The following is a 14668-nucleotide window of genomic DNA, read 5'->3' as shown; positions in this document are numbered from 1 at the left end:
ATGTGAGTTTTCTCCAGATACTCAGATTTTCTCTTACCCCTCCAAAGATGTGCACCTTATGTTTACTGGCCTGTCTGAATGGTTCCAGGCTGAGTGACTGTGGGTGTGAGTGTGCATGCACCCTGTGATGGGACAGCATACTGTCCAAGGCTGGTGCCTACTTGGTGCCTGAACTGCCAGAATAGGCTCTGGCCACCTGCAACCCTGAACTGGAGTAAGTGGGTAAATAATTGTCTTATTTGTTTTTATTAGTGTTTCTTAAATGTATATATAGCTCACACTTATTTCAATATTTAGTATTAGAAATGTTTTGGGTCTTTATTTAGAGGTTTTATGATGCTTTTATGACTAGAAATATGCTATGGGAACTTAACTCTTATTTACATCAATTAGCCTATGGTAAAATTGGTTTTGTTATATATTGTTTCACTTAAAGTCTCAGTTTCCAAGAACCTATCAATGATGTAAAGTGAAGACTTACTGTACTTTCTTCACTCTAGTGAATAGTTTCAATCAAATACAACAAGGATAATAATTTTTCGTACATTCAACAAAATTAATTAAAAAAACACACCCTTATTTTTTCATTGGAATATGTTTCTCTGACTATGCTCTATTTTAAAGACACAATCCCTATGAATTTTTATGAGCCAACCAGGACATAGACACAATTAGCTCTACGCACAATAAAGAGATTTTGAAATGTAAAATATAAAGGGCAAAAATTTGGGGCTAGGAATTCAGCATACAAGTTGAAATGAAAAGAAACAATTAGATTAAATAGTAAAACAAAAACTCAATGACTGGAAACCTCTTACAGTCCATTCTAATTTAAACAAGTCTGGTACAGACATAATGATTTGTCAAGCTCAAGCTTGGAAAAGGATCACAGCAAGAGAGCAACAAGAGGCAGAGAGAGAGAGAAGCCAGTGGAAGAGACTCAGAGACACTAGACACAATTCTATTATTTCCACTTGTATTTTAAAAATAAAGGTCAAATTGTAATTGTCCCTATTTGATTCTTGATGAATCCACAGAAGGGACCCTGATCAATCATTTTTCAATTACAGTAATTTTCCCTTCTCCAATGTTTCACTTTTCGTAGTTTCAGTTACTTGCAGTCAACTGTGGTCCAAAAATATTAAATGGAAAATCCTAGAAATAAACAATTCATAAATTTTAAATTGCTCACTGTTCTAAATAGTGTGGAGAAGCCTTTTGCAGTTGCACCCAGGATGCAAACCATCCCTTTGTCCAAGGTAACCACACTGTATACAATACCTGCCCATTAGTCATTTAGTAGCCCTCTTGGTTATCAGATAGGAAAAAACATAGTATACATAGGGTTCTGTTCTATCTGGAGTTTTAAGCATCCACTGTGGGTCTTGGAACTTATCCCTGGCAGATAAATGTACTGTAATGGGATTTTACTGCCCCATCTATATTATTTCCTTAGGTGGCTGGCCTTCGGCCAAAGTAGCACAGGTGACCTCCCTGCGATCAGCACATTACCCAGGCATCTCTGGCTTTTTGGAACCATTTTTTAAAGGTTAATTTCCCATTAATAATTTTTGACAGTTTAATTTTTGTAAAAAATGATGACTTAAATGTGTTAAAGTGCATTTTATCAACAATTAACTATTGCAAAGATCCTGAGTTAAAGACAAGCATAGAGATAGAAATGTTAAAGAACAAGAGTGCTTCTTATGCTCCTCAATCATAGTAAATATGAGCCATTGCCTTCATTTTGGCAAAACATCAGCCTCCATGAGATATTTGGAAAATAGTTTTCTATCCATCAGTATGTCTGCATCCCATAAAAATAAAGTAATATTCATTCATTTATGCATAATACATGGCACATGATATCACTGCAGATTAATAAATGCTTGTTGAATAAATAAATGAATAATTAGGGAACAAATGACTAATTTTTTGGAAGCTGCAAACTCAACTAGAATAATGGTTGTCAAGTCTGACAAACTGAATTTTCACTTGGAAACTATTCACAATTCAAACAAAATAAAAACTCTTTGTGCCACTCTGAAGTCAAAATTTATTTTAATCTGACAGCAATGAGGATGGTGGAAGATTGAGGAAAAGTTAGTTATGTAAATGATAAAACCCTATGGCCCACCACAGGTAGATTTCTAATTATTCTAAACTACCATTTTTAATCTAAAGTTGACTAAAAATAAGTTCCCAGGAGAACCTTAAAATAAAATTAAACTATTAAACCCATTAGTGAATGAGACAAGAACAATAACGTTCAGCTGATTCTCATGCCCAGTTTTCTTCTTCTTATATTTTAACTGCTAAAAGCTTTTGCTATTTAGTCTATTTTTCCCAGTGAGAAACCTTTTAAGAGATCAGAAAATATAATATTCGGTGTAGCAGGAGCTTCTTTTTAAGCAATGTTGGAGCGTCTTTTTAAGTAATGAAAACTTTTTTTAACATATAAACGAAGATCCAATAATTATATCAGGAAAAAGAAACTCCTCATTTGAACGTATTTTGTGTCTGTTAAAATATGAAAATAATCCACATTTACATCCAAAATTATATTTCACGGCCTTTAAGTCACAGGAGTAGAGAACTATTTTAATATAGCAATAGCATTCAAAAGTGCTTGAGTTTAACTGAGAGTCTAAAGTCAAATTTATCATTTATCCTCCTCCCAAACAAAAGGAATCAGTTCTCCTTCTGTGTTTGATAAGATCTGTTAATGGCATTACTCTTTCTATGATCAATCAGGCAGGGTCTAGACTCTAAAAGTCACCAGCAATGTGCTTTTGCACGCCTTTCTTACATCAAATCAAAATATCCTTTTTCTGTATCAGTCAAGTAACCAAGCACTTATTGAATGTATTACAGCAATTGCTGGAAGTAGTAGAGAACAATGGTCCTTGCTTCACAGGAATTTACAATTGTATTTGGAGACAAGATTAACATGCTAATGAAACAATTAGCAAACATAACAGAAGATATTATGTAATTAAATGGTACCTCTTGAAGGTGCAAACTATAATTACAGAAATTTGGAGAAAGCAAATGATCCAAAAGAAAAGGAAAGGTTAGTGAATACATCTTAATAATAATAATTATTATTATTATTTTGTGGCGAGTATTTTTATATTAGTCCTAAATTCCGCAAAATGGGTTCTTATGTTGGCTCCCTTTTAAAGCCAATGAAATTGTGGTCCAATGAAAGGAAATGACCACCCAAACTCCTCATAGACAGATAGTGGAGGGACATAAGCCCAAGCCTGGCAAGTCTGAGTTCTTTCTGCATAGCAATACTGCTTTTTATGGCATTGAGTGGCCTCTAATGCCTGGAAAACTTTACTATGCTAAGAAGAGCAAGGCTAGTCAGGCATAGCATGAGATTTGAGGAAGCAGGAATTTATCTCTTATCATCTCAAATGTTTATTGAGCTTGCAATATGTGCTAAACACTATGCTGAGAATCAATGAAAAGCAAGATAGTTATGGCCTCTGCCTTCGTGGAATTTAGGCTAGCAGTAAATCCCAGTCAAATAAACACCCTAATAAATATAAAATTGTAAATAATATAGGGGCTGTAAAGAGCAGTCCATGTTACAATGAGAATGCAGAATAGAAATTTTAAACTAATAAAGAAAGTCGATGCGGGCTCTTTTTTAAAAAAAAAAAAAAGAAAGTCAGGGAAAGCTTTCATGAGACATATAGATGTGTATATGATTACATAAACATGGAAAAAATACACAAGACCAATTTAGGTGATAAAGATTGGTTATGGGGGATAGTATAAGGATAGAGGGTAGAAAAGGAAAAGAAATCTAAAAGCAAGAGTTTTCCATGATTAAAATAGAATGCATACATAAAAGCTATGGTAACCAAATGCTATTGGTGATTATCTCAAGATTGTGAGGTTTCAGATATTTTATGCTCTTTCTTCTAATTTTCTATATTTTCAACTCTTTTTACAATAATTATGTACTGTTTATATTATTTGGTTTGTGAGTGTCTTAGTCCTTTTGGGCTTCTCTAACAAATACTTCAGACTGGGTAATTTATAAGCAACAGAAATTTATTGCTCACAGTTCTGGAGGCTAAGTCGAAGATTAAGACACCAACAGATTTGGTGTTTAATGAGGGCTTGTTACTCATCGATGGCACTTTCTATGTATCCTTACATAAGTGGAAGGGACACACAAGCTCCTTCAGGGCTCTTTTATAAAAGGGCACTCATCCCATTCATGAGGGTGGAATCCTTATGACCTAGTCATTTGCCAAAGGCCCTCTCTTTTAATACTATCACTGTGGATATTAAGTTTCAACATATAAATTTCCAAGAAACACATACATTCAGACCATAGCAGTGGGGGAAATATTTTCCTTAAAAAATTGCTCTTGAAAAAACCTGCACTTCAAAAGTAAGCAGTGACTTTTTGGTTATTTGTAATCTACATTTATTTCTAAAATTCTGAAATCTTTTTTTTTTTTTTTTTTTTTTTTGAGACACAGTTTCACTCTGTCTCTTAGGCTGGAGTACAGTGGTGCACAGTCTCAGCTCACTGCAACCGCCACCTGCTGGGTTCAATCAATTCTCATACCTTAGCCTCCCAAGTAGCTGGGATTACAGGCATGCGCCACCATGCCTAGCTAATTTTTGTATTTTTAATAGAGGTGGGGTTTCACCATGTTGGCCAGGCTGGTCTCGAACTCTTGATCTCAAGTGATCCACCTGCCTCAGCCTTCCAAAGTACTGGGATTACAGGCGTGAGCCACCACGCCTGGCTGAGAATTCTGAAATCTTAAGAATTCATGGAGAACAACTGTAACTGTTTTCTTAAACTGACCATTCTTGAGAAAAATGTACAGAATTGGTTGGGGCATTGGAAATGGAGGAAAAATACTGTCCACGAAGTGAGCACCATGTATTTTAGAGAGATTGGGGTTACAATTTTACTGCATTGATTTCATCCATCTGGTGGATATTGATGACTTAAGAAAAAAACTGCATTTATGTGAATAAATCATTCATCTAGCTTCCTCAGTAGACAATTTTTATTTTGAGCAGTAATTGATTTTACTTCACTAATGGCAACTCTTTCATGGCTGGCGGAAAGAAAGAGTTCAATTAAGTTTAAAAAAGAATTTAAACACATGTATGCTAGATGTAGCAAACCACCGTGGCACATGTATACCTACGTAACAAACCTGCACATTCTGCACATGTATCCCAGAACTTAAAGTAAAATTAAAAAAAAAGAATTTAAGCTTTTTTTTGGGAGGAATAGATGAAAACCAGAAAAATAATTCTCTAGATAAGAAAATATAAAAAAGATATGAAAAAGTTTGAAAAGGCCCTTAATACAAACGATTAAAGGAAACAGTAAAACTCTGTGAGTACTCTGAAGAGCAATAGAGAAAATATGGCAAATGCAAAGTGATGGGATGGAGGATGGCAGGAACTAAGTCTAAAAGTAGATGATGATTTCTAAGTATAAAGGTAGGATAGAAGGAGGGAAAATGTGCAAAGAGTGGAAACAATGTCCACAGAAAAGAAGAATAACATTTCTACATTGTAGCAACTCCCACACTGTAAAAACCCTACATAATAGATATAAAAAGAGAAGAGAAAAAGGCAGCAATTAAAGCAATTACCTCTATAGTATACATCAAATATATTCTACTGTTAGAGAGAATTAACCATCTTTTTATCAAGGATAAATTACTGAAAGCGATTTTTAAAAATTGCCTTGGAATATTTTGATTTCTGATACATGAAATATAAAGCAAAAAACATGAAATTTTATTGAGATGATATGGCAATGGAAAGAGCTTGGGTTTGGTTTTCAGGCAGACCTGAGAAAACCCCAGACCCTTAATCATAATATTGATGTAACTTTGGGCAAGTTATTTAACTTTTTGTATCAGATTGCTTAACTGTAGGCTATGAATGACAATACATTCTTATTTTGTTTGTTTGGTTTTTTTAAAGATTAAATAAGATGATACAAGTTAATTGCCTGGTACATAATCACTTCATAAATGCATTTTCCTATTCAATTAGAAATTAAGCATTTCCTTTAGAAATTAAATATTTTTAGAAATTATATAGAAACTGCCTTGACACAAAATTTGACTTGACTACCATTTTTGTCGGAGAAAATTAGAACCAGTTTTTCTTTTTCCAAAAAATTATAACTAAGAATAAACCATTTCCATGTCATTTGAAAAAATCCCTTTAACATTCTCTCCTTTATAAATTCTCCAAACTTTGCTAATCTTTTAATTATGAGGCAGAATTTGGCTTGTTGATTCTGCACTCTTCCTCCAGGGAAGAATGCAGTGCCCCAATCCACACTGCAGGTTGTGGAGTGGCCTGATTTAGAAGGAGATGGTAGTGATGCCAGTGAAATGCCTTCCTAGGAAAGAAGAGTTTTTAAAACCACTTTGGGTTTTTTCTCTCTCCATATCTTTGTGAGCTTATCAAAGATTCTCAAAGCAAGTAAATGGGTTTCAGTTAAAGCAAGTAAATGGGTTTCAGTAATTGTTGAAGTGAAAAGCAGACCTAAAAATCAGTGAATGATAAGGAAATCCGATGGCTACAGGTTAGTTCTAATATCCAAATGGAATCAATAATCGTAGGCCCAGTAATGGTTTAGAGTGAGTCCTGGTAAAAGTGTAAGACTTCAATTTTCAGCCTCTAAAAATGTGGTAAAAAGCACACCTGTATAGGATATAATCAAATAGTGTTTCTTAGCTTTGTACATAATTCTTCATAATTTTTAAATTCTCAAGAAATAAGTGTAGCACAGTATGTGAGAATTTCCCAGAACATCTATACTAAGGGGGTGATTACAGAGAAAGGCTAAGGAGAAGAAAACCAGATGTTACAAAATCTAAGTTTTGGAAGTTGCTGAAAATACAAAGAGCTGTCAAGACCATTAGGAGAAAAGAAGGGCATCAGAGGCATGGCTGTACTAGGAAGAGAATGGGAAAGCAGGACTCCTGGGAATGGAAACAATCAGATGGTCAGGAAGGGCGAGGGTGTCAGGGGATAGAACCCTGGGCAGCTCAGTGGGACCAGGAAGTCTGACAACAGAATTCTCCCTGACTTCAGTGTTTCCCATTATAGATAGCTGCAGATTTTCCTGATTGATCCCACAATTAGTAAGAACTCTCTGGAGTTTAAACTTCATGCCCCTTGCCCTCTTGGGGAAGGAGATTATCTTCCTCTAAAATATGAGAGGGTAAAGAGAAGTCCTTGAGGCTGAATAAGCAGTTATTTGATCTGCGGGGGACTCAAGTTTTGCCTGCCTGGCATCTATTCACCTTTATTCTGAAACAGCATCCTGGTTCTATTTTGCATTATGTTTTCTTGAAAATGCTGATTTGTCCAGGGATATGCATGAGATCTAAGCCAGGCTATCATAATTCAAAACCAGGAATTGCTGAGAGTTATTGGGAAATAAAAGCAGTTTCTCTGAGTATTTGCTAAGCCAGTGGCAATATGAACCTTGAGCTTCTAGTAACCATCTTGGCCTCTCAGCGAGAGGGCCCTCCCAAGAGAACAGCTAACACCATCAAAAGAAGAGGTGAGAGATGATGGGAGACAGATTTTTCAGCAACACCATTTGAGTAGCTACCTCCAGCACACATGAAATCTATCTCTGGTCCTATAAGACATGTGAGCCAGACAATTATTTCCTTAAGTCAGCTTAATTTGTTTCTGTCACTCACATCCAATAATTCTTGCCTACTACAAAATCATTTGCCCTGCTGTGACTTCTCTCAAGTAGGGCCTAAGAGGAGTTGAGAAAAATCTGTCAAAAGTATGTTATTCTCTCCACAGCTTTGTGGTTCCTCTGACTCCATCCCTCATCTGGCATGCAAAGTATTCTGAAAATCATGCCTCTCTCTCAAAAAAAGCATACATCTGCTGGCCTGTATCTGCTTATGCCAAGAAAGCTACTTAAAGCCTGGACAAAGATCAGCCCACTGCCTAGTTTCCACAGCCAAGCCTCGGTTCATGGATAGAAAGAAGTTCTAACTGGACTCTGTGTTCTCTGCTAGTTTACTGATGGCCAGTTCAGGGCTTGTCTGAATACCTGGAGCACAGTTCTGCCATGGCTCCTTGGCCAAATTTGTATTGCTGAAACCCAAGCCTGGCAAGCCCGGTTTGTTCATTGCATGTTAGTCTGATGTACTCTGGACTTTGATCTTTACTTTGTTCTCTTGATATATAGCCACACCATCTCTCTCTCTTTTCTTGTTCCTTCCTGTGTATCTCTCAGTCATACCACACTTGCTTAGCTGAGTACCTGGGACTGTGGCCTGCTCTATTCTCCAGGAACTTAAGTCTTGGTACTGCTTTCCAAGACTTCAGCTTAGTTGAAGATGGTATAAGCTATGTTAAGCAGGAGATCTCTCTTGTCCACTATTGGAATTGCAATAAGCTTTGTAGTTGCAATGTCATGCAGATTGTGCTCCATGCTCTTTGGACCAACTTACTGCCTATTCCATGAGCACTGACCCTTCCTTCTTTTTCTACTGCCCACAGCGTATGTCCACTTAAGCAGTGTAAAAGATAACTCAAGAAAGAAAGGGGCTTCATCACCTAACTCATCAAGCTTTAGAATGTATCTGCCTGCACAAATACAAGGTGAAGCACTTTTTCTGTTTCCAAAGGAGCAAAATTCTGCCATCTGAAACAAAACCTTTGAAATCATTACTTTCCAATTATTATGGGACTTTATCTCATTGGCACATGAAAACTGTCTTCAAATATTAGAAAGACTTGTCATAAAATATTCATATTCTGAACGGCCCTACAGAGCAGAACCAAGTAGAAGTTAAGAGAGACAGATTTCAGTTTGGTTTAAAAAAGAGCTTTTTAAACTTTCAGAGCTAGCTCAAGATGGACTATGCTCTTTTAGTAGGTGGTGATATTTTTGTCACTCTGGTGTGCTTCAGTGATTTAACAAGTACTGGGTTGAAATCCCAGTGCTCAGCACCCAAAAAATTGTTTTAGCTTGGAATAAAGAACACTTGATCAGAAGATATCAGTCATCTATCTCTAGCCACAGACTCCCATCTGAGGGCCCTGGGATGCTTTTCTGTATGTTCACTCTCTGACACAGAAGTGAAACGTCCATCTGGTCTACCATTTGATGTACCCTAACAATCTGGAACTCCAAAGTGCAGTGTGCTGGGAAAATTGGTTTTGGTCTCCAGGGGATCTCTCCCCTTTCTCTACTATAATTAACATCACAAGGATTTATGCTAAATTCATCATAGTTTCCTATAGCTAACTGCAAAATGTAGACAGACTAACTTTCTGATGAATAAGAACACTTTTGAGGAACCATGGAAGTTTCCTCTTAATGATCTTTCCTGTATTTATTCTTGCTCTTTAACTGGTGTGATGGTTCCAATTTGTAAGCTACCAAGCTATAGATTTAGTTTTTGCTAGGTTAGTTTCTTTTACAAACAAATTTTAAGGGCTCTAAGTATCTTTTCTGAAGAGTAACTTTATAAAAGTTGAGAAAAACGTGAGTTTAAAACATCTTTAATGAGTCTGGAAAGGGTGCAATAAGGCTCACTACAATGATTGAGAGATTAACAATTTTTTAAAAGAAAATGGAAGATTAAGCATATTTGGCCCAGAAATAATACAGTTAAAATGAGGCTTGACAAAAATCTGGGAAATTATGAAAGTTTTATAAGGTGGACATGATATCCTTCAGGTTACTTCAGAATATTAAATTGTATGCACTTCTCTTAAAGCTTGAGAAAAATCAAAGTTTTCAGCAATACTTTGCCCTGATGACAAAAACATATTTGACTTTCTTCTCCTTTGCCATGCAAAATATCCCAAGTACCATCAACAGAAAGAAGCTGGTCTTTTGTTCTACACTCAATCAATTACTATATGCAAGAAAAACTCAGGAAAACTTTCCAAATGTCTGAACATAATGAAAAATATCTATCAATTTAATAATTTAAAAGGTGATGGAAAGCTGGGTTTCCCATGCCTTCAAATTTCTCTTACTTTTACTCAGGGTTCTTTTCACTTCTAAAGTTGCTGCTCTGAATGAAATCTTCAGGATATATAGATTAGGAATTCTGGCAAACAGTCACTATACAAGGATTCTAATACAGCAACAAACAAGTAGGATGATTCATGGAATTCTCATTAGAGTGAGATTATACTGAGCACTGAGCTTAAGCTTGTGCCTGGGCAGGCTTGAAAGGTGATTACAACTGCTAGACACTTTCCTTAGCATATAAGGACATGTGGTTGATACAGGTAGTTTGGTTTTGAAATGCACTAAAAACATTCTCTATGATTAAGACCTGAAATATCTCCAACCTTGGTAATATTCATATACAAAAATCTTTGCAGAAATCTTTGCATAGTTATTTTGAGGTTAAATGTATTTGGGGTTTGTTTTTCTGGGATTTATTTGCATTCCTGAGAGAAAACCTGACTGAAAAGATCCAAGTAATTCCAGGGCATACAAAAGAAAAAAAAAAAAACTGCAGTGAACTACTCTTAAGGAAATTTCTCAAATGAACATATTGATTTCTTAAAATGAAAGATTAAAGAAATAAGTGACTAAAACAAAAGAGAAAAACCAGTAGAGTTAGATTTGGGAATTATGACTGCTATCTAAATTTGTGTGAAGAGGGCAATATATTTTTGTTTTCTTAAGACTTTTTTTTAAATAATTACACTACTCTATATTTATCATTTGTTCATTTAAAAGCAACTTATAAAACATGACCTTTTAAAGTCCATAAGTTTACATGATGCTTTTTTAATGTAATTTTATGAGGAATAATGTACTTAATTTTGACATTTAAAATAATTATACTGCACTATAGACACAAGCTCTAATTATGCTTCTGAACAATATTTGCTTTTCATAATCAAGCATAATATTTTAAGAGTATTTTCATGAGATAAAAGGAAAAAAATTAAGTAGCCAGATATGTTCTTATTATTTTCCTTCTTTCTTTCCAAATATTCTCAAAGTGGATAAGTCACTCCTCAAGCATGGCAAATATAATATTTGTAGCAAAAAGACTTGAATTTTTAGAGATGGCAGGACTGTGATTGGGTAACACTGTCTTAGAACATTCTTTCACAAGGAACAGAATCTTAAACAAGTTCAAGAAAATGCAGTGTATTAGGGAGATACCAATTTAATGGACTCCAAAGTGAAGTCACAACTCCAGACATAAGGAAAGGCAGGAGCTGGGTAGCCACAGGGGCCTCAGCAGCAAATGTTCATAGACTCTGACTCTCACAGCCTACCACAAACAGTGTGAGACAGTGAGTCTGACTGTTTTGGTCCAGGTTATGTATGACTGACTCCTTCAGGCCAGGCTGTACTCTTGATTAAATTAGAGTGGTCAGGGATATGAACAGAGGCAGGATTTGGAGGAAAACTTATCTTCTTAGAAGGTGAGTGGAAGGAGAAAATAATTGGCATATATAGTGCATTTGTTAAAATAATTAAAACTTGGATCATGCAAAGATAAAAGTTATCAGTTGCTTCAAATATAGCTCCAAAATTTCTGTGCCAACATTTGAATTAATCTCAGTAAAAGATCAAAGACTGACACTGATATCCCTTCTTAAGAAAAAAAGGAATTTCATGAATATAATTCAGAAGTCTCTACCTAATATACACTTTAGCTCCAAATTAAAGTTGAACATCATTATGATCAGAAAACACCTGTTACTAATGCATATGAGAGAAACTGGTAGTAATAATTATTCCTTTAGACTTACTGTATAAATCATTACATATACTTCTTTAACATTTAGTAGTCTTAAAGCTATGCCAAGTAATCCAAATTAATAATTATATAAATAAAATAGCAAAACAGGCTAACAAGATCTATTGAAAACTTTATTTTTCATTAGTATGAATAAATATTAATATTAATATAAATTAAATGTAACATATTAAAAATCTTCATAACACCCAATTCTGGAACTATTATGGCTTTCAATAAATATTCCAAACCCAAATGTTGTTTAAACTTCAATACTAATTGTAACGAGGAAGAAATAATCAGCATACATAACAAAGCATTAGCATCTCAACGTCCAACACCTAAGCCGCAAGGGGAGCCTCTGCTCTTTTATTCTTTAAAGCATCATATCCCAGTAAAGTGCAACATGGCTTTCTTTCTTTCACGAATAAACATTCTTCCCCAGTAGCGATTTAAGGAGTCAACTATTACCCCTTTAAGCCTGTCCTTAAGTAGATCCACAATTACCTATAAAGACGTTGCAGCCTGGCTCAATTTCCTTAATAGTTTTCCCTGGCCTTCAGGATAAAGTTGAAGCACTTTTGCAAACACAGAATGCAAATTCCATCTTGTCTGGTCCTTTCTTTCCTCTCCAGATTCATCTTTCACTCTCAGCCTTCCAGCTGATACTTTAGTAGTAAGAAACTACTTGTTGCTGCTCTTCACCTTCTTCTTCCAGGACTTTTCTCATGCTTCTCCCTCTGATTAGAATATTCTTCTCCCCACCCCTTTCTTTACCTAAGGAATTTGTAATCTCTCATAATGACTCAGATCCTGTAAATATTCCCCGAGCCTAAAAAATTGGGCTAAAATTTCTTCCCTTTTGGGACTTATGGTCCAAAAGTGTCCTGTACATAGCTCAATTACAGCATTTATGAATTATATTGATACGATCAGCTGATTGGTCTATTTCTCCATAAAACCATAAGCTGGTTCCATGTTGTACCACCAATACCTACTATGGACTTGATATGCTAGAGTTATTGTTGAGTATAGTTACCCATGAATACTGTTTCTGTCAACAAAATACTTAAGCTGTTTGATGAAGAATTTGAAACCCCAATGAAGTCAAGAAACTTCTAAATTGGTTGTTTAAAAAATATTCAACAGCTTGAGTAAAGTGAATTTAATCTTTTAATTTTTCTTAATAGTTAGCTTCAAAAAAATGTCTGTTTATAGATGTAGCCCAAGAGCATTTTCTTGGCATCTTGGCTCACTGCCTGGAGCCATCTCAACACTTTGCCTAAGGAAATATAATGATTTTTCAAGCAATGGACACACTGATAGGTCTGAAGACATGGTTGAAATGGTGGTTTTTCATATAAGCGTTTTGTAACTGTGACTGTCACAAATAATCTGATTTGGTTCAATTGCCCAAAACAAGCAGCATATTTCTATTGCTCTATACCCTAAAGTCCTCATTATTTTATATTTTTAAGCATAGTGAGAATATAAATAGAAACTTCAGAAATGTTATGCTAATACAAAAGAGAGATCTATATAGGCAAAATAAGTAAAAGAATGGATCACCATATACATTGGCTCTCCAGAGATAATTATGTCCTCAGGTAACAGTGATTTGGAATTCAGCACACCTGAATTGTCCAGATAACTGCTACAATTCTTCCTTTTCACTGTGTTAATGTAAGAATGGCCTAAGAATAATTTTTAAACAAAGCAAATTGAGATTAAGCCTAAATAACAAGGTAAAATTCTACTTTTTAAATTAATGGCAGAACTATATTTATTTATAATTTATACTTTGTTTTACATTCTGCAAAGTGGGAACAATCTAAAAACACTTCAGGGGAGCTTTCTACAAAAGATCATTATTTTCTGATTCAAAGTCAATTTTTCAGAGCAATTTTAATTACTAAAGAGGTATCTCAGAATTAAGCATAGGCAAACTTGGCAAAATATACCCTCTATATTGTTCTTCCCTTTCTTCTTCCTGGACATGAATGCATTCACGCTCTCTGTGCCTCACTTGTGGAATCCAGTGATAAAAAAGTTTCTTACTTAGTATTATGTGTATCAATGGTATGGAAAAGCTCGTGTAATTCTTCTCCACTGAGAACACCATCTGCAAAATATGCTTTGAATTCTTCAAAGGATAATTTTCCATCATCTGAAATGGCAAGAACAAAGAGACACAAATTATTTTAATTTTGTACATTGTTCTGTTTTTGCTTTATAAAACTTCACCCAAACGCTTGTTCATGTACACACGTGTACTCAAAAAGAAAGAACAGCTGAAGGTGTTAAAAAGAAAAATAATTTAATATATCTTTATATAACATAGAACACAGATGTGTACACTCTAATAAAATATAAGTCTACAAGGTTCTAGGTATTTTTTGGTTCATTTATTCACATGACAAACATTTAACATTTAATGAACCATTTAACAGGCCATACAAGAAAGATGTCCACATAACCAAATAAAGAGCTCAACACAGAGTCAATTATTTAGATGTTTTACCTTCATGGTACCAAACACATATAGGACCTAGCAGATTGCAGGATAAATATGATGTGTTTAATAAATGTATATCAGAGTTGTTATTATAGTCTAACAAACTATGTCCATTCCTATGCCCTTTAAATCAGTGAGTACCTTTAAAGCCAAAGACATTTTACTTACTGTAGGGCACAAAGGTGAAACCCAATCAGAGAGATAACATATAATAAAAGAGATCATAAAAGAGATAATATATACAGACATTATAAGTATTTTATACAGTAAAATACGGTTAATGCAATAAGAGACAGAGGTATTTTAACTGTATGGGAGTTTTGGGTAACAAAAGATTCTTTCCATTTGAGGGCCTGAGGGGTTTTAGTAGCATTCA

General features: G+C 35.0%; 1 protein-coding gene and 1 long non-coding RNA gene across 3 annotated transcripts in view; one reads left to right on the top strand and one right to left on the bottom strand.

Annotated features, from left to right (window-relative positions):
* The window catches only part of NECAB1 (N-terminal EF-hand calcium binding protein 1), a 167619-nt gene that overhangs the window by 120733 nt on the left and 32218 nt on the right, over positions 1-14668 (bottom strand). For both annotated transcript variants that reach the window (NM_022351.5, XM_011517213.3), the window contains exon 3: positions 13836-13944. In NM_022351.5, the coding sequence (NP_071746.1) occupies positions 13836-13944 (109 nt within the window). The remainder of the gene's footprint in view (positions 1-13835; positions 13945-14668) is intronic.
* The window catches only part of LOC105375635 (uncharacterized), a 52864-nt gene that overhangs the window by 20677 nt on the left and 17519 nt on the right, over positions 1-14668 (top strand). The gene's annotated exons all lie outside the window — the stretch shown is intronic.

The sequence above is a fragment of the Homo sapiens genome, chromosome 8 (genome assembly GCF_000001405.40).
Source record: "Homo sapiens chromosome 8, GRCh38.p14 Primary Assembly".
NCBI classification, from domain to species: domain Eukaryota; kingdom Metazoa; phylum Chordata; class Mammalia; order Primates; family Hominidae; genus Homo; species Homo sapiens.
Note: the sequence above shows the minus strand (reverse complement) of the source record. Positions and strands in the feature narration are given on the sequence as shown.